The sequence below is a fragment of the Homo sapiens genome, chromosome 1 (genome assembly GCF_000001405.40).
Source record: "Homo sapiens chromosome 1, GRCh38.p14 Primary Assembly".
Lineage (NCBI taxonomy): Eukaryota > Metazoa > Chordata > Mammalia > Primates > Hominidae > Homo > Homo sapiens.
In genome coordinates this window covers 82,230,384-82,254,012 of record NC_000001.11, presented here as the reverse complement: position 1 = coordinate 82,254,012, position 23,629 = coordinate 82,230,384, and the positions used below count along the sequence as shown (strand labels likewise).

At 38.5% G+C, this 23,629-nt stretch overlaps 1 annotated feature.

Annotated features, from left to right (window-relative positions):
- Positions 3,169-3,668: an enhancer, noted in NCBI's record as "H3K4me1 hESC enhancer chr1:82716029-82716528 (GRCh37/hg19 assembly coordinates)". NCBI's record gives its function as "activates a minimal SCP1, AML or CMV promoter by ChIP-STARR-seq in naive H9 embryonic stem cells {active_cell/tissue: H9 hESC(naive)}" and the evidence as "EXISTENCE:reporter gene assay evidence [ECO:0000049][PMID:30033119]".

Genomic DNA, 23,629 nt, shown 5'->3' with positions numbered 1-23,629 from the left:
GGCATCCCTGTCTTGTGCCAGTTTTCAAAGGGAATGCTTCCAGTTTTTGCCCATTCAGTATGATATTGGGTGTGGGTTTGTCATAGATAGCTCTTATTATTTTGAAATACGTCCCATCAATACCTAATTTATTGACAGTTTTTAGCATGAAGGGTTGTTGAATTTTGTCAAAGGCTTTTTCTGCATCTATTGAGATAATCATGTGGTTTTTGTCTTTGGCTCTGTTTATATGCTGGATTACATTTATTGATTTGCGTATATTGAACCAGCCTTGCATCCCAGGGATGAAGCCCACTTGATCATGGTGGGTAAGCTTTTTGATGTGCTGCTGGATTCGGTTTGCCAGTATTTTATTGAGGATTTTTGCATCAATGTTCATCAAGGATATTGGTCTAAAATTCTCTTTTTTGGTTGTGTCTCTGCCCGGCTTTGGTATCAGAATGATGCTGGCCTCATAAAATGAGTTAGGGAGGATTCCCTCTTTCTCTATTGACTGGAATAGTTTCAGAAGGAATGGTACCAGTTCCTCCTTGTACCTCTGGTAGAATTCGGCTGTGAATCCATCTGGTCCTGGACTCTTTTTGGTTGGTAAACTATTGATTATTGCCACAATTTCAGCTCCTGTTATTGGTCTATTCAGAGATTCAACTTCTTCCTGGTTTAGTCTTGGGAGAGTGTATGTGTCGAAGAATGTATCCATTTCTTCTAGATTTTCTAGTTTATTTGGGTAGAGGTGTTTGTAGTATTCTCTGATGGTAGTTTGTATTTCTGTGGGATCGGTGGTGATATCCCCTTTATCATTTTTTATTGTGTCTATTTGATTCTTCTCTCTTTTTTTCTTTATTAGTCTTGCTAGCGGTCTATCAATTTTGTTGATCCTTTCAAAAAACCAGCTCCTGGATTCATTAATTTTTTGAAGGGTTTTTTGTGTCTCTATTTCCTTCAGTTCTGCTCTGATCTTGGTTATTTCTTGCCTTCTGCTAGCTTTTGAATGTGTTTGCTCTTGCTTTTCTAGTTCTTTTAATTGTGATGTTACGGTGTCAATTTTGGATCTTTCCTGCTTTCTCTTGTGGGCATTTAGTGCTATAAATTTCCCTCTACACACTGCTTTGAATGCGTCCCAGAGATTCTGGTATGTTGTGTCTTTGTTCTCGTTGGTTTCAAAGAACATCTTTATTTCTGCCTTCATTTCATTATGTACCCAGTAGTCATTCAGGAGCAGGTTGTTCAGTTTCCATGTAGTTGAGCGGCTTTGAGTGAGATTCTTAATCCTGAGCTCTAGTTTGATTGCACTGTGGTCTGAGAGATAGTTTGTTATAATTTCTTTTCTTTTACATTTGCTGAGGAGAGCTTTACTTCCAAGTATGTGGTCAATTTTGGAATAGGTGTGGTGTGGTGCTGAAAAAAATGTATATTCTGTTGATTTGGGGTGGAGAGTTCTGTAGATGTCTATTAGGTCCGCTTGGTGCAGAGCTGAGTTCAATTCCTGGCTATCCTTGTTGACTTTCTGTCTCCTTGATCTGTCTAATGTTGACAGTGGGGTGTTAAAGTCTCCCATTATTAATGTGTGGGAGTCTAAGTCTCTTTGTAGGTCACTCAGGACTTGCTTTATGAATCTGGGTGCTCCTGTATTGGGTGCATATATATTTAGGATAGTTAGCTCTTCTTGTTGAATTGATCCCTTTACCATTATGTAATGGCCTTCTTTGTCTCTTTTGATCTTTGTTGGTTTAAAGTCTGTTTTATCCGAGACTAGGATTGCAACCCCTGCCTTTTTTTGTTTTCCATTTGCTTGGTAGATCTTCCTCCATCCTTTTATTTTGAGCCTATGTGTGTCTCTGCACATGAGATGGGTTTCCTGAATACAGCACACTGATGGGTCTTGACTTTTTATCCAACTTGCCAGTCTGTGTCTTTTAATTGGAGCATTTAGTCCATTTACATTTAAAGTTAATATTGTTATGTGTGAATTTGATCCTGTCATTATGATGTTAGCTGGTGATTTTGCTCATTAGTTGATGCAGTTTCTTCCTAGTCTCGATGGTCTTTACATTTTGGCATGATTTTGCAGCGGCTGGTACCGGTTGTTGCTTTCCATGTTTAGCACTTCCTTCAGGAGCTCTTTTAGGGCAGGCCTGGTGGTGACAAAATCTCTCAGCATTTGCTTGTCTGTAAAGTATTTTATTTCTCCTTCACTTATGAAGCTTAGTTTCGCTGGATATGAAATTCTGGGTTGAAAATTATTTTCTTTAAGAATGTTGAATATTGGCCCCCACTCTCTTCTGGCTTGTAGGGTTTCTGCCGAGAGATCCACTGTTAGTCTGATGGGCTTCCCTTTGAGGGTAACCCGACCTTTCTCTCTGGCTGCCCTTAACATTTTTTCCTTCATTTCAACTTTGGTGAATCTGACAATTATGTGTCTTGGAATTGCTCTTCTCGAGGAGTATCTTTGTGGCGTTCTCTGTATTTCCTGAATCTGAACGTTGGCCTGCCTTGCTAGATTGGGGAAGTTCTCCTGGATAATATCCTGCAGAGTATTTTCCAACTTGGTTCCATTCTCCCCATCACTTTCAGGTACACCAATCAGACGTAGATTTGGTCTTTTCACATAGTCCCATATTTCTTGGAGGCTTTGCTCATTTCTTTTTATTCTTTTTTCTCTAAACTTCCCTTCTCACTTCATTTCATTCATTTCATCTTCCATTGCTGATACCCTTTCTTCCAGTTGATCGCATCGGCTCCTGAGGCTTCTGCATTCTTCACGTAGTTCTCGAGCCTTGGTTTTCAGCTCCATCAGCTCCTTTAAGCACTTCTCTGTATTGGTTATTCTAGTTATACATTCTTCTAAATTTTTTTCAAAGTTTTCAACTTCTTTGCCTTTGGTTTGAATGTCCTCCTGTAGCTCAGAGTAATTTGATCATCTGAAGCCTTCTTCTCTCAGCTCGTCAAAATCATTCTCCATCCAGCTTTGTTCCGTTGCTGGTGAGGAACTGCGTTCCTTTGGAGGAGGAGAGGTGCTCTGCGTTTTAGAGTTTCCAGTTTTTCTGTTCAGTTTTTTCCCCATCTTTGTGATTTTATCTACTTTTGGTCTTTGATGATGGTGATGTACAGATGGGTTTTCGGTGTGGATGTCCTTTCTGTTTGTTAGTTTTCCTTCTAACAGACAGGACCCTCAGCTGCAGGTCTGTTGGAATACCCTGCCATGTGAGGTGTCAGTGTGCCTCTGCTGGGGGGTGCCTCCCAGTTAGGCTGCTCGGGGGTCAGGGGTCAGGGACCCACTTGAGGAGGCAGTCTGCCCGTTCTCAGATCTCCAGCTGCGTGCTGGGAGAACCACTGCTCTCTTCAAAGCTGTCAGACAGGGACATTTAAGTCTGCAGAGGTTACTGCTGTCTTTTTGTTTGTCTGTGCCCTGCCCCCAGAGGTGGAGCCTACAGAGGCAGGCAGGCCTCCTTGAGCTGTGGTGGGCTCCCCCTAGTTCGAGATTCCCGGCTGCTTTGTTTACCTAAGCAAGCCTGGGCAATGGCGGGCGCCCCTCCCCCAGCCTCGCTGCCTCCTTGCAGTTTGATCTCAGACTGCTGTGCTAGCAATCAGCGAGACTCCGTGGGCATAGGACCCTCCGAGCCAGGTGTGGGATATAGTCTCGTGGTGCGCCGTTTTTTAAGCCGGTCTGAAAAGCACAATATTCGGGTAGGAGTGACCCGATTTTCCAGGTGCGTCCGTCACCCCTTTCTTTGACTTGGAAAGGGAACTCCCTGACCCCTTGCACTTCCCAGGTGAGGCAATGCCTCGCCCTGCTTCGGCTCGCGCACAGTGCGCGCACCCACTGGCCTGCGCCCACTGTCTGGCACTCCCTAGTGAGATGGACCCGGTACCTCAGATGGAAATGCATAAATCACCCATCTTCTGCGTCACTCACGCTGGGAGCTGTAGACCGGAGCTGTTCCTGTTCGGCCATCTTGGCTCCTCCCGATGTTGGCCTTTTAATTAAGTTTTGCATTATGCACAGCTAGCTAGATTTTTTTTCTCCGTCATCAAGAATATTGCCAGCCACATTTACTTTACTACTTCACTTTATTCCCACACCATTGATGCCTTATGTATGTATATAACAATGTAGCTGCCACCAAACCAATTACAGAACACCTCCAACACAGCATGCTGCATTTTTTGATGTTCTTGCTTTCTGTTTGTTATTTGTTTATTTTGAGGTAGGGTCTTGTTCTGTCTCCCAGACTGGAGCATAGTGGTGCAATCACAGCTCGCTGCAGCCTCAATCTCCCAGGCTCAAGTGATCCTCCCAACGCAGCTTCCTGAGTAGCTGGGACTACAGGTGTGCACCACCAAGCCTGGCTAATTATTTTGATATTTTTTAAAATAGAAATGAGGTCTCACTACGTTGTTCAAGCTCGTCTTGAACTCCTGAGCTCAAGTAATTCTGACTCAGCCTACCAAAGTGCTGGGATTACAGGCGTGAGCCACCAAACCCAGCCCATGCTGTCTTGCATAGGTAATGACAACCTTATTATGAATTGCTGCCTGGCCAAAGACATTTGTAAGATATCATTTATTATATGATAATCCCTATTTTTAAATATGTTAAAAAGCACATGCAAGAATAAATAAAATTCAAAATGTCATTTTGGTTAGACCAATATTCCATGTTTACTTATTAGAACCATGTAAATGCTCATCATTGCAGAGACAAATTTACTTGGAAGTTAATGCAGTTTCAGGGCCCCTCACTGATATGAGCATCTTCAAAATCCTTAGGAGAGGACCTAAAGATACGTTCACAGGATCACACTTCCTTTTACATTGCAAAAGTAAGCTATTTTAATAACAACTAGTTAAGTTCACTACCCCTTTCAACTCTGACTTTACATTTATCATCTGTCACGTTACTCCTCATGATTGGTGCTGTGATTAGAATGTTTGTGTCTGCTCCAAAACTCATGTGATAACTTAATCTCTAATATAACAGTATTGAGGAGTCTTTACAGGATGTTTAGGCTATCAGGGCTCTGTCTTCATTTATGGATTAATGCCTTATGAAACATCTTGAGGGGGCAAGTAAATCAGATGCAATTATTGAAATAGTTATAATGTCCAGGGGGCCTAATAAGGGCAAAAAAAAAAGATCTTTATGGATTTTTCAAAATAAGAGGAAACAATTTGCAAACAGGTTATGTCCAGAGAGGGCAGATGGTTCAAGATCAATGTGATGATGAAGTCTAGAAAGTGGTCATATTTGATGGGGACTAACCCAAAGACAGTGGAGTGTCTAAAGAATCACATCAACAGCATAGTGTCAGATGGACCATGACGTCAAAATTGCTGAGATCCACTGTAGGAGATGGTGTCGAGAGAAAATGTCTTAAGCAGGTGATAAAATAATCAGACTCAGTGAAAGTAGATTCATGAAAGCAGTGGATATGTGCATTAGGATTTGGAAGGTCCTGAGGTGTTGGGCTTCACTTGAAGGAAAGTGGAGTAACAAGAGCTGGTTAGTGGTATAGAATCTGTCAGCCGGAGACAAGGACAAGGAAGAGGCTCACTACACCCCACTCACACTCAAGAAGAAGAGGATAAGCAGATTACATGCAGTAAGGAATGAAAGGCTCATCTCACAGAATACAGTTTGATTTTTAAACATAAATATTATAGTTGTCCACATAATACATTTTCTGCCCATATTTCACAGTGTTTCTATGAATTTCTGTGAATTGCCTTCCTCAAAAATAAATAAGAAGGAGTCAGGAGGTTAAAAAGGAGGAAAATGAATAAGGAGAAGAGAAAGAGAAATTAAGGAAGAAACACTAGTAAGAAAAGAGTTGCCCTCTTCAGTGCCTGGACAATCTCTCATCTGCGAGTTGGCCCCTCCTTGCATGAGGAGCTGAGTGAAAACAAGAGGACTCCCTAGCGACTGAATGAGAGTTGTCCCCTACCTATGGCTTTATTTCTCTACTCAGTAATTCATAAACACGTTGTGCATCAGAATTTGAAGGAAACCTTTAAAAAATTGCATGGATTCCTGGGTTTCCCCTATCCCCCCACCTTCTCTATCATCTTCCTACCCCAACCCAGGCCTATTAAAGATGAATTACTGGATATAAAGTTTAGGCCTTTGTATTTAGAAACCTCCCAGATCGTTATGTTACTAGATGCAGTCCTCGTCTGGGACCTTCTACTCTAGGTTATGCCAATCCTAGGCAACTGGAAAGTTCTAATGACATGCTTACCCCAAATCCTGAACCCTCTCCACCTGGTAGAACTCCCCAAGACTGATGGGGAGAAAGTTATTGTGTGGAGATCCTAAGAAACTACAGTTGCCCAAAGAAATTTTTCAACTCATGACTCCACAAAAACATGTTTAAAAAAGACAAACTGGAAAAATACCACTACGGAACACAATTTTTCTCTCTTTGTGCTTTCCTCTTTTCTTCCATTAGAGTCAGTCGGTTAACAAGTCTCAATTAAGTAAAGTCACACAGTATTACACCAGTCAGGAACCTGGTTTTTTTGTTTGTTGTTTTTTTTAAAACTCACTGTACATCCTATTCCACTCCTCTCCACAACTCTTATCCTATTAGAGTGGCCCAAATGTGAGGAATTTATTTCCACAAAAATGCTCCTAAATTAAAATAACTTCATGGAAAAATATGACCCAAAAGAGATATATCAAGTGCAGAATGCTGAACAGAAAAAGAAAACTATAGTATCCCTGAGGAGTCTGAGAATAAAGTCTAAGTACTACAAGATGGAACCTTCCATCAGATTGCTGTTCAATTTAATTATGGTTTAAAATGTGCATATGTGAAATTAATATTCAGGATCCCAGTGATTTAAAAAGCAGCAATAGGCCACCATTTGAATTCACAGACTTGTGATCCATTTTGTCCCATGGAACAACTAAGTACAATATGATACCAGTGCTCAGATTTCTGGAGAGAGAAAACAGAGGCTCTATTTTTAAAAATAAAACTATGCATATGTAACTTGAATACAAAAAGGGGGAATTATGTTAATACCAAGGGGGAGCTACAAAGCTTCCATCCTTTTAGTCTCAAACCAAGTAGAAATCCCCACTTAGCTCTTTAGGTCTATTAGGAATGTCATTGCACACAGACCAATGTCGTATTCTTAAAACGTTCTCTGAGCCTCAGACTATGCCCATGTCTTTCACAGTTTGCATGATCAGAAGAGGAACTACTAAGTGAAGGATGAGACTTAGACTAGTGTGATTGAAGGTGCACCAATAATATCTTTCTACCTGCCACTCCACCCCACAGTTTTGTTTTTTTTTTTGTTTGATTGTTTTGTTTTTGTTTTTTTTAAGATGGAGTCTTATAGTGGAAAGATTCCAAGCTTTGAGGTGAAGCCTAGGCTCTATTCCTCATTCATGACCTTGTAGCCTGGGGCAAGTTACTTAACTTTTCTGGATCTGTTTTTTTTATTGTTATTTTTGTTGTTTTGTGGTAAGTAATTACAGCTGCATTTTAGTTATAGGATTGGGACCATCAGTGAAAAAGAATAGTTAAAATACCTGTTACTGGGATACCATAAAACACCTATTTAGTAAATTTGGCATGGAATGTGCTTCACCGAAAAAAAATGAAGCCAACACCTCTGAGGTTGTGTCGTGCTGATGGAGCCCATCAGGGCAGTTGACTGGGTGGAGGTGCCTCTGCTACCATGGCAAGATCTGACTGCTTCAGCCTCTTGAGCCTCCTCTTAGATGTGCAGCCCTCACCCACTGCCCTGCTCCAGCCACACTGCCTCCTGTCAGTTGGAACAGTCTAAGCTCTGGCTTTCATCAGGTGCCTGTTGATATCTTTCTCCTGGCTTTTCACAGGACTCATCTCCTTAGTTCTCATTTCAAGTGTCATCTCCTCAGAAAAGCTTTTTTATAACTATTCCTCTCTAAAGGAAGACGTTCTTTGTATTTTTAAACCTGTTCTCTGCTGGGTTTTTTTTTTTTCTGACTGCACACGCTAATCTGTAATGACCTTATTTATTTGGTTGTGTAATATAACCTAATGCCCCTGAGGGCCTTTGTACCCCTTCTGCCTAGGAAAGTGCCTTGCGCATAGGAGATGTGCAGTGAATAGGATATTTGTTAAACAAATGAATGAATGAATGAATGAATGAATGAACGAACAAGTTATTGTTTTACCACTGTCTCAATTTTGAGCTCTTTGGACTGAATTCCCATTCAGAGAAAGCGCTAGGGGTCTTGAAGAAAGACATTGAGAAAAATCAAATGAAATGTTGGCACTATGATGGTCTCCTAATGAAAGCTCGATATATACTAATTATTTGTGAAGACATTTTTGTTATTAAAGAACAGTAGCCTCAACGCTATAAGAGCATATAGTACCTTCACTTCCATTTGTCTGGGTTCCTTCAACTGTAAAATGAGGAAACGATTCATATGCACATCATGTGTGGTGTGAAGGTTAAATGAGTTTCTATATGTGAATGCTTAAAATAGTACCTGGATCTTAGTCAATGCTAAAAATGGCATTTCCAGAAGTTATGTTTACTTCAGTCTATGGCAAAGACAATTTGAGTCAACAGGTTAATTCATCTCACTGAGACTGCAGATATGGGAGGAATGGCAAAATCTGTGCAGCTTCGGTCAACAGGGCCTTGATGACATACACAGGGTTAAAGAAAAGCCTATAATTCCTATTAGGTGAGAATTAGTATAATTTGATGCTGATATAACCTGACAAGATGAAAATACTGTTCCACTAAAATCCATGGAGAGATTATATCCTCAAAGTTTTGAAGCAAACTATTTTCACTAACAACATGTGATTATTGAAAAGTTATTTTAAATCCTTGCTGACCAAACTGATCAGAGATAACGAAATATTTAAGGATCTTCTGGTCAAATGGACACCAAAGCTTGTTGGATAAAATACATGCCAGTTGGATTTATGGTAATACATAAGTCAGCAAGTCCCTGGATTTGTCTGTTATACTTTCTGCTATGTATTATCAGGCCTCTTGAATAAAGATCCATTTCAGTACAAAAACTAGTTAAGATTTTAAGATTGACCATAAATTCAGAGTTTTGAACTGACGATAAACTCAATGTGTCTGTTTATAAAGATAAAAAGTTGTTTTAAAAAAAAATCCATGTTAGTAGAAAACTAAAAATAGCAAATAGTCCCATATTTATATCTCAGTAGTCAGAATACAAATAAACATCCTTGGTGAAAACACATCAGTGCTTCCAATTAAGGCAATATAATTGCATGCTTTGAAGTGGAACAATGGAAAAATCTGACAATCCATTGTATTAATTTGAGACACAGACTTTAGAGACATATAAAAAATAACATTTAATCTTTGTGTGACATCTGCTTCTATATACTTTTTGCATAACATTTATGTATTGTGTGTAAACACACACATTAGATAGATAAATAGATAGTTGGATAGATAAACATATGTTAAAGAGCTAGATGAAATCTGGTGCAACCCAGTAATTCACTTTGGTAAGCCATTTCACTGTTACTGCTGCAAGTTCTATTGTCTTCTACAGTTTCATTGTTTTCAAAATTATAGAAAGCTTTACACGTTTATGCTCAGTCTGTTCATTTACTTACCTGGCAGATCTCAAATGACCAGACACAGGATAGAGGACACGGTCTCAAATAAATCAGAGAGTGTTGCAAAAGCTGAGAGTAATGCTTTTTATCCAATGTGTGTCTTTAAGTGTTTTATTTCACTTATAACGAAAAGTGCAATATATAACCATTGAGGAAAAAAATAGCAGTTCAATTAATAATCTTTTGTGAACAACTATTAGAGCACAAAGTTGTTTTCTAAACTCTTCATGAGATTACACAAGACAATTATTTAGTGATCAGTTTTCAAGGGTCACTCTCTCCTTTCTTTGCTTTCTAAAACAACCTAACGAAAACTATCCATTATTTGTAAATTTATTTGTTAAGAATCTTGGTTTCCAGGCCACTGACTCTGCCTACACCAGTACTTGATTATATAAGATTTAAGAAAAAATACCACTTAGATTTCCTTATCAAGAAAGACCTAGACATCTAGGAAGGGGGCATTTAATGTAAGCAATTAGGTGAATGAATAATTAATTATCCTATGCTGATTATTGTAAATGGCTATTGTGATTTATAAGCCTTTAGAAACCCCTTTGCAAGACGGATTGTAGGTCAACAGTTATATAATACAGCAAAGAAGCATCATTAGTACATTTTGGTCTATATCTGGAAATCATGGGAGGAAGCAGGCAGCCAGTTCTAGAAGAGAGGAAATAATTCATCACTGTTGTCTTACACCCATCACAAACACAGCAGTTACAATTAGGGCAGTTTTGTTTTAATTCTAGTCTTCCAACCTCCTCCATAATCACAACAAATTCTCTTCCAATTTTTTTTTCTGAGTTTTTTTTTTTAACTTTAAAAATACCTTTACCTATTTTGTAGGGCATCATATTAATTATCTAAAACACTGAACTATTTTCCAGTCGAATTGAAAGCTCTAAAATGCAAACATGCTAAGTACTTCAGGTTGGAGCAACTTTCTGTAATATAAACTGTTCTGACATGAAATTGATTTATTCATAACTTACACTTATTTTGTTGTAAAATATTCAATGTTGTAAATGTAGACTGTTTAGTAAAATGCATTGCACTGAACACAATAATGTACTTTATCTAGCAGTGTCTAAGAATTTTATCAAGGTAATTTTGAAACTCCTTCTGGTACTTATGATCAAAATTTCAGGCTGACAGTCCTGAGTATGAAATCAAAATATCCATCAGCTCAAGTGATATGCAAAAGGTATGCTTTCAGCTCATAGCCAAGTGTGTAATCTCTGCATTGCCAGGACCATTGTGGTAACTAGACACTCTGGGTGTTATTGTCCCTTTCATCAATGTGTAATATCATAGCATAAAGCTATCAATATATTTCAGGCACAAGTTTGGAAAAATTGAATTTAAAGATGTAATTGATCAATAATTAGGATGTACCATCCAAGAAACTAAGTCAAGATTTAGAAAATTAAGGGCATTAAATTAAAATCTAGACAAAAATTTTTAAAAAGTAATAAATAGTTTACGGTTGAGCTATACTGTTTCTGCTCTGACTGTACCTAGCATACTGTACCATACTGAGTTTAGGTGTCTCTTCAACACAGGTGGTTTGGCTTCTATCTATATATAGCCTGGGGGGGGAATAATCATGATTTTTAATAATTTATTTAAATTGGTGATTTTTTAGTGTCATGTGTAGATGGAGATAAATAATAAAGAAAGAAAATTTGTAATCATCTAACAGGTTTTTCCTGCCTGCTGCACAGACAAAATGAATTCACTGAGACCATGGCATTGTAGTCGAGAAAGAATTTAACTGATGAGAGGCCAGCCCACATGGGAAAAACTGGAGTTATCACTCACATCAGCCTCCCTAAAAGCTCAGAGGTTAGGGTTTGCATGGACAATTTGATGACTGGGAGACTAGGGAATGGGTGCTGCTGATTGGTTGGGGATGAAATCATAGGGTGTGGAAAATGGTCCTCATGCATTGAGGCTGCCTCTGGGTAGGGCCACAGGACCAGTTGTATCATGAGTCACAGGTCCTGGCAGGGCCAGTCTGTTGTAAAAATGTCTGAAAAAATCTCATAAGATCAAGCTTAGGTTCTACAATGGTGATGTTATCCATAGGAGCAACTGAGGAAGTCACAAATCCTGTTACCTCTGGCTACATGACTCCTGAGCAGTAAGGAATTATAGAAAATTTGCCTACATCTTATCAGAATTCAGAGCCCTCTTATAACTTTGTGGCCTTTCATTAGTTTTACAAAGGTGGTCTAGTTTGGGAAAGAGCTATTATTGTCCATGCTTTAAGGTTAAACTATAAACTAAATTCCTCCCTAAATTAGCTTAGCCTATCTCCAGGATTGAACAAGGACAGCATGAAGCTTAGAAGCAAGATGGAGTCAACTGTGTCAGATTTCTCTTGCTGTCATAATTTTGCAAAGGTGGTTTCATATTTAGTCATTATTTCTTAAGCAGGAAAGATAAAGAAGTTAAAGTTTACTGAAAAGTAATCTACACAAGTAATCTAGGAGAAGCCATCATTTTTCACATGGAATTATTGTGCCAGGAAAATTCACCATTTACCATTCTGCCTGTGTTTCTCCTACATAGCTATTCACAGGTTAAAGCTTTATGTTTCAGACTCTGTAACATTGGGAAAATCATTCCACTGGTTCATTTATGAGTCTTTGTAAATTCTGAGAGGAATTTAAAGTGTTGTGTCAGGTTTAGAGTCAGGTATTTGAAAGCTTTGGCACTCCTGGGTTAAGCCATCTCAAATATAAGATGGAATTAAAGCAAGGGAAAAATAATAACACATTAACTTTTAATTCATTGTTGTCTTAGAGCCTGAAGGCCTCTGAGAGGTTTAACAAAAGACCATGAAGAATAACATGCTTGAAATACACTCCAAAGAAGAAGAAAGTAAACAATGAACTTCAAATAGTTCAAGGCAATGCACACTAACAGTATGTAGGACCAAAAATAAAAGTCTAAAGAGAAACTAAAAAGCTTTGAGACTGGCCTTTACGATGGTGCATATGAGAAGGGGAAGAATTTCTAGTTAAAGCCTTTCAAGATCCAACAGATTATATTTTTTGATGGCCAATAGTATCATTCTGACCTTGACTGCTGCTGTAGGAAATAGCGGGGCATTCAAATATGGCCATGCATTTGCTCCACGTCAGTCAGACACTGAGAATAATGATGGCCCAAGAATAGAGGTCCTTTTGCTATATTCTTTGTTCTCTGTGGGAGAAAAATCTGAGAAAGATTTTCTATTATACCCCAAATAGCATTCGTTCTGGCAGCTCATAATGGTGGGGAAAGTGAAGCAGATTATTAAATGAGGGGAAAGGTTTACCTAGGGAAACTTCCATTTATTGCAGGCCAATAGAGTCTGGGTTTCTACTACGTGCTTCATCTATATTAACTCATTTAATCCTAAAAACACTCAGAGATAGGAATTGGATTTCTATTTTATAGACATGAAAACAAAGATGGAGAGTGATAAGCCATTTGCCCAAAGCCATTCAGTGGCTGAGGGATAGAGGTAAAATTTGCACTGAAATATGTTAAGTCCAAAGTTCCCAGTCTTTAATCACTATGCTTTTCTACCCATTACTAAATTTCAAGACTTGTGAGATCATCTCTAGTAAGTCTTATCATTTTATCCGTCTACTTTAGGCAGATATTATCCAGAACACCCTAAGATCCACTGCACTCTATAAGGAAAAAGCTGACCTCTAGGTTTTTGCTAAGAATCCATCTGCTGGGAGCAGCCAAAATGGCAAAATAGGAACCGCTCTGGTCTGTAGCCCAAGACGGTCAAATAGAAACAGCTCCACTCTGTGGCTCCCATAGAGAAGAATGAAAATAGCAAGAGAATTTGGCATCTTCAATTGAGATATCCAGATTCTTTCACTGGGACTGACTAGGTGGTTGGCATGACTCATGGAGAGTGAAGAAAAGCAGGGTGGAGTGAGGGCCCACCAGGAGCTGCACAGGGCAAAGGGAGCTCCCTCCCCCAGCCAAGGAAGGTGGTGAAGGATTGTGCTACCCAATCCTGAAAACCACACTTTCCCAATGGTCTTTGCAACCTGCAGATCAGGAGTTCCCCTCGTGAACCCATTCTGCCAAGGCTTTGGGTCCCAAGCACAGAGCTGCACAAACTCACTGCAGCTGCTTGGGTGGGTGGCCACTCAGGCAGGCACTGAGACACAGGAGTTTTCACATACTACAGCTCTAGAACTTCAGTGAGGCAGAAGACCATCTACTCCCATGGGAAGAGGGCTGAAGCAAGAGAGCCAAGCAGCCTCAATCTGCAGGTCCCAGTCCCAAAGAACCCCAAAAGCTGAAGCTAAAGCCCACTCACTTGTAATCCATGCCAGCCAGCACAGATGGCTAGAAACTCCCTAAGAAGACTGAGTTTCGAGGTGGGGAAGGCCGCCGCCATCACTGTGGCTCCAGTCGGCCATTTTCCCTTGCCGTTGCTGCCAGCAAGACCAGACGGTTTGGACCAGGAGAATTTCCCCACAGCACACTGCAGTGGCTGTGACAGTTCACGGCCAGGATGCTTCTTTAAGCAAGATCCCAACCTATTCCTTCTCACTGGGTGGGGTCTCGCTGAGGGATTATCGGCATCCCCAGCCAGGGGTTTATGGATAGAATTCTGCTCTCCCTTATAGAAGCCCCTAGGAGGAGGGACAGCTGCAGTATTGTGGATCAGTGGTCTTAGTCTTTTCTGCCTGCTGGCTCTGGAGAGTCGGGGCAGCCCAGATGAGGGGGCAGCACACCTACTTTGTCAAGGGGCAGCCAGACTGCTTATTTAAGTGGGTCCCAGATCCCATTCCTCCTGACTGGGTGAGACATCCCAACAGGGGTCTTCAGACACTTCATACAGGAGCATTTTGGCTGGCATCAGGTAGGTGCCTTTCTGGAACAGAGCTCCCAGAGGAAGGATAGAATGCCATCTTTGCTGTTCTGCAGCCTCCCCTGGTGATACCCCAAGGTGCAAGAGGGACACAGGCAAACAGGGTCTGGAGTGGACACCTGGCAAACCACAGCAGCCCCACAGAAGATAGGCCTGACTGCTAAAAGAAAAACAAACAGAAAGCAACAACAACATCATCAAAAAAAAGACCCCACAAAAACTGCATCCAAAGGTCAACAGCCTCACAGATCAAAGGTAGATAAACCCATGAATAAGAGAAAGAATCAAAGAAAAACATTGAAAACTCAAAAAGCCAGAGTGCCTCTTCTCCTCCAAATGATCTTAACACTTACACAGCAAGGGCACAGAACTGGGCTTAGGTGGAGACAAATTGACAGAAGAAGGCTTCAGAAGATGGGTAATAATGAACTTCACTGAGCTAAAGAAATATATTTTAACCCCTTGCAACAAAGCTAAGAACCATGATAAAACATTACAGGAGCTGTTAAAAAGAATAACCAGTTTAGAAAGAAACATAAATTACCTTATGGAACTGAAAAACACAACACGAGAACTTCACAATGCAAGCACAAGTATAAACAGCCAAATAGACCAAGTGAAAGAAAGGATATCAGAGCTTGAGTACTATCTTGTTGAAAAAAGGCAGGCAGACAAGATTGGAGAAAAATAATGAAAAGGAACAAACAAAATCTTCAAGAACTATGGGATTATGTAAAAAGACTGAACCTATGACTGATTGGGGTACCTAAAGAGATGGGGAAAACAGAACCAAGTTGAAAAACACACTTCAGGATATGATTCAGGAGAACTTCCCCAACCTAGCAAGACAGGCCAACATTCAAATTCAGGAAATCCAGAGAACCCCAGTAAGATACTCCATGAGAAGTCCAACCCCAAGACATATAATCATCAGATTCTCCAAGTTTGAAATGAAGGGAAAAAAATGTTAAGGGCAGCCAGAGAGAAAAGCCAGGTCACCTATAAAGGGAAACCCATCAAACTAACAGCACACCTCTCAGTGGAAACAATACAAGCCAGAAGAGATTAGGAGCCAATATTCAACATTCTTAAAGAAAAGAATTTCAACCTAAAATTTCTTATCTGGCCATCTTTTTCAGACAAGCAAATGCTGAGGGAATTTGTCACTAAGAGTCCTGCCTGGCAAGAGCCCCTGAAGGAAGCACTAAATATGGAAAGGAAAAACCATTACTAGCCATTAAAAAAAAAAAAAACTGAAGTATACAGATCAATGACACTATGAAGCAACTACATAAGTCTGCAAAATAACCAGTTGGCATCATGATGACAGGATCAAATTCACACATAATAATATTAACCTTAAATGTAAATGGGCTAAATGCCCCAATTAAAAGACACGGAATGGCAAACTGGTAAAAAGTCAAGATCTATCAGTGTGCTGTATTCAAGAGACCCATCTCACATGCAAAGACACACATAGGCTCAAAATAAAGGGATACATGAATATTTGCCAAGCAAATGTAAAGCAAAAAAAAAAAAAAACAGGAGTTGTAATCCTAGTTTCTGACAAAACAGATTTTAAACCAACAAATATCATAAAAGACAAAAAAGGGCATTACGTAATGGTAAAGGGATCAATTCAACAAGAAGGGCTAACTATCATAAATATATATACACCCAATACAGGAGCACTCAGATTCATAAAACAAGTTATTAGAGACCTACAAAGATACTTAGACTCCAACACAATAAGAGTGGGAGACTCTAACACCCCACTGTCAATATTAGACAAATCATCGAGACAGAAAATTAACAAAGATATTCAGGACTTGAACTCAGCTCTAGATCAAGTGGACCTGAGAGATATCTACAGAACTCTGCACCCCAAAACAACAGAATATACATTCTTCTTGGCACAATGTTGCACTTACTAAAAAATTGATCACATAATTGGAAGTAAATCATTGCTCAGCAAATGCAAAAGAACTGAAATCATAACAGTCTCTCAGAACACAGTGCAATCAAATTAGAACTCAAGATTAAGAAATTCACTCAAAACCACACAACTACATGGAAATTGAACAACTTGCTTCTGAATGGCTCCTGGGTAAATAATGAAACTAAGGCAGACATCAAGAAGTTCTTTGGCACTAATGAGAACAAAGTGACAACATACCAGAATCTCTGGGACACAGCTAAAGCAGTTAAGAGGGAAATTTATAACACTAAATGCCCATATCAAAAAGCTATAAAGATCTCATATTAACACCCTAACATCACAACTAAAAAGAACTAGAGAACCAAGAGCAAACAAACCCCAAAGCTGGTAGAAGACAAGAAATAACCAAGGTCAGAGCAGAACTGAAGGAGATAGAGACACAAAAACCCTTCAAAATATCTGTGAATCCAGGAGCTGGTTTTTTGAAAAAAAATTAATAAAATAGACCATTAGGTAGACTAATAAAGAAGAAAACAGAGAAGAATAAAAAAGACACAATAAAAAATGACAAAGTGGATTATCAGCACAAATACCTACACAAATACAAACAACCATCAGATAATACTGTAAACACCTCCATGCAAATAAACTAGAAAATCTAGAAGAAATGGATAAATTCCTGGACACATACACCCTCCCAAGACTGAGCTAGAAAGAAATTGAATCCCTGAATAGACCAATATCAAGTTCTGAAATTGAGACAGTAGTACATAGCCTACCAACCAAAAAAAATCCCAGGACCAGATAGATTTACAGCTGAACTCTACCAGAGTTACAAACAGGAGCTGATACCCTTTCTTCTGAAACTATTCTAAACAATTGCAAAGGAGGGACTCTTCCCTAACTCATTTTCTGAGGCCAGCATCATCCTGATACTAAAACCTGGCAGAGATATAACAACGACAACAACAACAACAAAAAAAACACTTCAGGCCAATATCACTGATGAACATTGATGCAAAAATTCTCAATACAGTACTGGCAAATCAAATCCAGCAGCACATCAAAAATCTTATCCACCATGATCAAGTTGGTTTCATCCCTGGGATGCAAGGCTGGTTCAACATATGCAAATCAATAAACATAATTCATCATATAAACAGAACTAAAGACAAAAACATGTGATTATCTCAATAGATGCAGAAAATGTCTTTGATAAAATTCAGCATCACTTCATGTGAAAAACGCTCAATAAACTAGGTTTTGAGGGAACATATCTCAAAATAATAAGAACCATTTATGGCAAACCCACAACCAATATCATACTCAATAGGCAAAAGCTAGAAGCATTCCCCTTGAAAACCAGGACAAGACAAGGATGCTCTCACTCACCACTCCTATTCAACATACTATTGGAAGTTCAGGCCAGGGGGATAAGGCAAGAGAAAGAAATAAAGGTATTCAAATAGGAAGAGAGGAAGTCAAATTTTCTTTATTTGCAGATGATGTGATCCTGTATCTAGAAAACCCCATCATCTCAGCCCCAAAGCTTCTTAAGCTGATAAGCAACTTCAGCAAAGTCTCAGGATACAAAATCAATGTGCAAAATTCACAAGCATTCCTATACACCAACAACACACAAGCAGAGAGCCAAATCATAAATAAACTCCCATTCACAATTGCTACAAAGAGAATAAAATAACTAAGAGTACAACTAACAAGGGAAGTGAAGGACCTCTTCAAGGAGAACTACAAAAGACTGCTCAAGGAAATAAGAGAGAATACAAACAAATGGAAAATCATTCCATGCTCATGGATAGGAAGAATCATTACCCTGAAAATGGCCATACTGCCCAAACTAATTTATAGATTCAATACTATTCCCATTAAACTACCATTGACATTCTTCAAAGAATTAGAAGAAACAATTTAAAAATTCATATGGAACCAAAAAGGAGCTCATATAGCCAAAACAATTCCAAGCAAAAAGAACAAAGCTGGAAGCATCATGCTATCCTTCTTCAAACTATACTACAAGGCTATAGTAACCAAAACGGCATGGTACAGGTCTAAAAGTAGACACATAGACCAATGGAACAGAATTGATAACTCAGAAATAAGGCTACACATCTACGACCATCTTATCTTTGACAAACCTGACAAAAACAAGAAATGGGGAAATGATTCCCTATTTAATAAATGATGCTGGGGGAACTGGCTAGCCATATGCAGAAAATTGAAACTGGATCATTCTTTACACCTTATACATAAATTAACTCAAGATGGATTAAATAAGTAAATGTAAAACTCAAAACTATAAAAACCCTATAAGAAAATCTAGGCAAGGCCAGGCGCAGTGGCTCATGCCTATAATCCCAGCATTTTGGGAGGCTGAAGTGGGTGGATCACAAGGTCAGGAGATCGAGACCATCCTGGCTAACATGGTGAAACCCTGTCTCTACTAAAAATACAAAACATTAGCTGGGCGTGGTGCACCTGTGATCCCAGCTACTTGGGAGGCTGAGGCAGGAGAATCGCTTGAACCTCGGAGGCGGAGGTTGCAGTGAGCAGAGATCATGCCACTGCACTTCAGCCCCTGGGCGACAGAGCGAGACGTTGTCTCAAAAATAAATAAATAAAATAAAATAAAGAAAATCTAGACAATACTATTTAGGACATAGGCACAGGCAAAGGTTTTATGACTAAATCGCCAAAAGCAATTGCAACAAAAGCAAAAATTGACAAATGGTATCAAATTAAGATAAAGAGCTTCTGCACAGCAAAATAAACTATCATCAGAGCAAACAGGCAACCTACAGAGTGGGAGAAAAGTTTTGCAATCTGTCCGTCTGACAAATGTCTAATATCCAGAATCTATGAGGAATTTAAACAAATTTACAGGGAAAACTACATTAAAAATGGGCAAAGGATATGAACAGACACTTCTCAAAAGGTGTCATTCATGTGGCCAATAAACATATCAAAAAAAGCCCAACATCATTACATCACTGATCATTAGAGAAATGCAAATCAAAACCTCAATAAGATACGATCTCATGCCAGTCAGAATAGCAATTATTAAAAAGTCAAGAAACAACAGATACTGGTAAGGTTTCTGAGAAATAGGAACAGTTTTACATTGTTGGTAGGAATGTAAATTATTTCAAACATTGTGGAAGATGGTATGGCGGTTCCTCAAAGATCTAGAACCAAAGATAGAATTTGACCCAGCCATTCCATTATTGAGTATATACCCAGAGAAATATAAATCATTCTATTACAAAGATACATGCACTTGTGTGTTCATTACAGCACTATTCACAATAGCAAAAACATGGAATCAACCTAAATGCCCATCAATGATAAGAGCGGATAAAGAAAATGTAGTACATATACACCATAGAATACTATGCAGCCATAAAAAGGAACACGATCATGTCATTTTCAAGGACATGGGTTGAGCTGGAAGCCATTATCCTCAGCAAACTAATGCAGGAACAGAAAACCAAATACTGCATGTTCTCACTTATAAGCAGGAGCTGAACAATGAAAGCACATGGACAAAGGGAGGGGAACAACACACACTGGGGCCTGTCAGGGGATTGGGTGGGGAGGGAGAGCATTAGGGAAAATAGCTAATGCATGCTGGGCTTAATATCTAGGTGATTGGTTGATAGGTGCAGCAAACCACCATGGCACACGTTTATCTATGTAACAAACCTGTACATCCCGCACATATACCCTGGAACTTATAATAAAAATTAAAAATTAAAAAAAAATCAAGACATAATAAAGCTTTTTGGCACAAAGCTTGTTTTTAGCATTTAGGGCTGGATATTTTCATAATTCTGAAAGGTCCCAATAAACTCTGAAATGTCCCTTCTTAGCTTCTAAGAAATGTGTGTTTAAAACCTGTTGAATTAAAACACGGGGTCATTTTAGTGATAGAAAACTGCACATCATAAAGGTTTTTGGCACAAAGCTTCTTTTTAGCTTTTAAGGCTGGAAAAAAAAAATCCTTCTATGAAAGGCACTCCCTATCAGGGTTGTACCCAGCCCTTCTGCCAATTAGGTTTCAAAGGACCCAAGAGATAACTCATTTCATTAAAAGGCAAAAATCCTGACTCTGTCAACCTGGTGAAGAGAATCAGACACAGCAAGTCATCCAGCATCTGAAAGGTTTTACATTCATTAAAGCATTGCCATAACAGAAGAACTCCTGCATAATCCTACCTGAGAATATCCCACTGATGCAATTTTGAAAGACGACCATCTCTCTGAAAGGTCAAACTTTTCTCAGAGATTGTTTTAATGCCAAAGTTAACCAAAACGGCTAAAGAGGTGCACACCTACAATGATCATGTAAAGTGAAATAAATGCTAATTAACTTTCTACTCATTTTATGCATTATTTCAAATGTTGATAAAAAATATTTCTGTCCTCAAAATAGATTCAATGATCTGGTAGTGAGACCTCATCTTAAATCACATTAATATTTTTTTTTGCAAAATGAGACAATACCATCATATAAAAACACCTCCTTCCATAATAGTAATAGTATTATGGATAATATTGGCCTAAAGTAGATGGATAAAATGATAAGACTTACTAGAGATGACCCCAAAAGTAATGAAATTTAGTGATGGGTAGAAAATCATAGTGGTTAAAGACTGGGGGCTTTGGACACAACAGATTTCAGTGCAAAAACTTTCACTTTCAGTGATAAAATTTAGCCACTGAATGGCCTTGGGTATGATTTTTAAAAATCGAATACTAACTATACTACCCAAAGTGATCTACAAATTCAAAGCAATCTCTATAAAAATACCAGTGACATTCTTCACAAAAATAGAAAAAACAATCCTAAAATGTGTATGAAACCATAAAAGATCTGGAAAACCAAAGGAGTCTTGAAAAAAAAGAATGAAGAATCACGTTACCTGACTTCAAAATATATACAAATCTATAACAACCAAAACAACATCATACTGGCATAAAAGCAGATATATAGACCGATGGAACAGAATAGAGAGTCCAGAAATAAATTTGCATACAGCCAAATGATTATTAGCAAAGGTGCCAAGAACACACATTAGGGAAAACAGTCTATTCAATAAATGGTTTTGGGAAAACTAGATGTTCACATGCAGAAATATGAAATTAGACCTTTATCTTTCACCACTTACAAAAATCAAGTCAAAATAGGTTAAAGACCTAAACTCTAAACAATAAAACTACTGGAATAAAACAGGGGGAAATGTTCATGACCTTGGTCTGGGCAAAGATTTTTTTTGGATACGACCTCAAAAGCACAAGCAACAAAAGCAAAAATAAACAAATAGGACTATATCAAACTAAGAAATTTCTGCACAGCAAAGGAAATTATCAACAGAGAAAAGAGACAACCTACAGAATGGAAGAACGTATTTGCAAACTATACATCTGACAAGGGGCTAATATCCAAAATACATAAGGAGCTCAAACACCTCAATCACAAAAACAACCTAATTAAAAAATGGTCAACAAACCTGAATAGACACTTATTAAAAGAAGACATACACATGACCAATACGTTTATGAATAAATACTCAACATCACTAGTCATCAGAGAAATGCAGATTAAACCCCAATGAGATACCACCACCCTCCAGTTAAAATGGCTATTACCAAAAACACAAAAGATGAAAAGTCTTGATGTGAATGTGGACAAAAGGAAACCCACTGTCAGTGACAATGTAAATTAGTATAGCCACTGTGAAAATCATTATAGAGATTCCTCAAAAAATTGAAAATAAAACTACCATATGATCCAGCAATCTCACTACTGGGTGTATATCCAAAGGAAATGAAATCAGTATGTTAAAGAGACATCTGCCCTCCCATGTTTATTGAAGAACTATTCACAATAGCCAAGATATGGAATCAACTATCTGTGTCTATCAACAGATAAATACATAAAGAAAATGTGATATATATATATACAATGAAATACTACTCAGCCATAAAAAAGAATAAAATCCTGTCATTTGTGACATGTATGAACCTGGAGGGCATTATACTAAGCGAATAAGACAGGCACAGAACGACAAATATCTCTTGCTCTAACTCATATGAGGAAAATAAAAACGTTGATCACATAGAAAGTGAGGGTAGAGTAGTAGCTACTAGAGGCTGTGGAGGGTAGGGGGGAATGGACAGATGTGAACAGGTTGGTCAGTGGCTATTATGTTACAATTAAATAGGAAGAACAAGTTCTGGTGTTCTGTTGCACTGTAGGATGACTATCCTGCATGTTAACAATAATGTATGATACACTTCAAAATAGCTAGAAGAGAGGATTTTGAATGATTTCACCACAAAGAAATGATAAATGTTTAATGTGATAGATATGCTAATTACCTTGATTTGCTCATTACTCAATGTATACAAGTATCAAAACAACACGTTGTACCCCTTAAATATGTACAATTATTGTTCCAATCAAAAAGAACACTTTCAAAAATAAAAATAAAAAAATTGAGTCTTAAATATCCCAGATTTCAAAACTAAAAGGATATACAACAAAATTCTGAGAAAGTCTTGATTTGAATTCAGTAAGATTAACCACTCACAATAGAAAGCCATTTCCATGCAGCATTTGAAAAAGATCATCCATCACAGAGACTAGCACATTCTCCATGCTAGGCCGAAGCTTGGAATTTAATGAGAAGTTACTGACAGCTTTCGTCTTCACAGCTGCCCCTGGAATTTGTTAATACATCGGTTCTCCTGACACGCAGATACTAGAAGTCACTCCACCATATTTCAATGAATAGAATACAAGTAATGCAGCCCCCTAAAAGCTTATTCTTCCAATTATTTGAACTAAGCAAATGTTCCTTTTAGAGGTCATCAACCAAGTATATTTAACAAAACTAGCCTTATGGTTTTTAATCACCTTTAATATAACTGTTTCTAACAAACAAATAGTGAAAAAAAATGAATGTGTCAGAATTTCTCAATTCTTGTTCTTTTCTAAATTGCAATTCTCACATTCCAGCTTGATCATCAATTATGTCACAGTAGCCTATTAAATTGTAGATGAGTTTAATCACCCATACTGTCTTTATTAACTCTCAAACAATCCTCAATTAAAGGTACCATTGATACTTTTCTACAGATAGGTAAACTGAG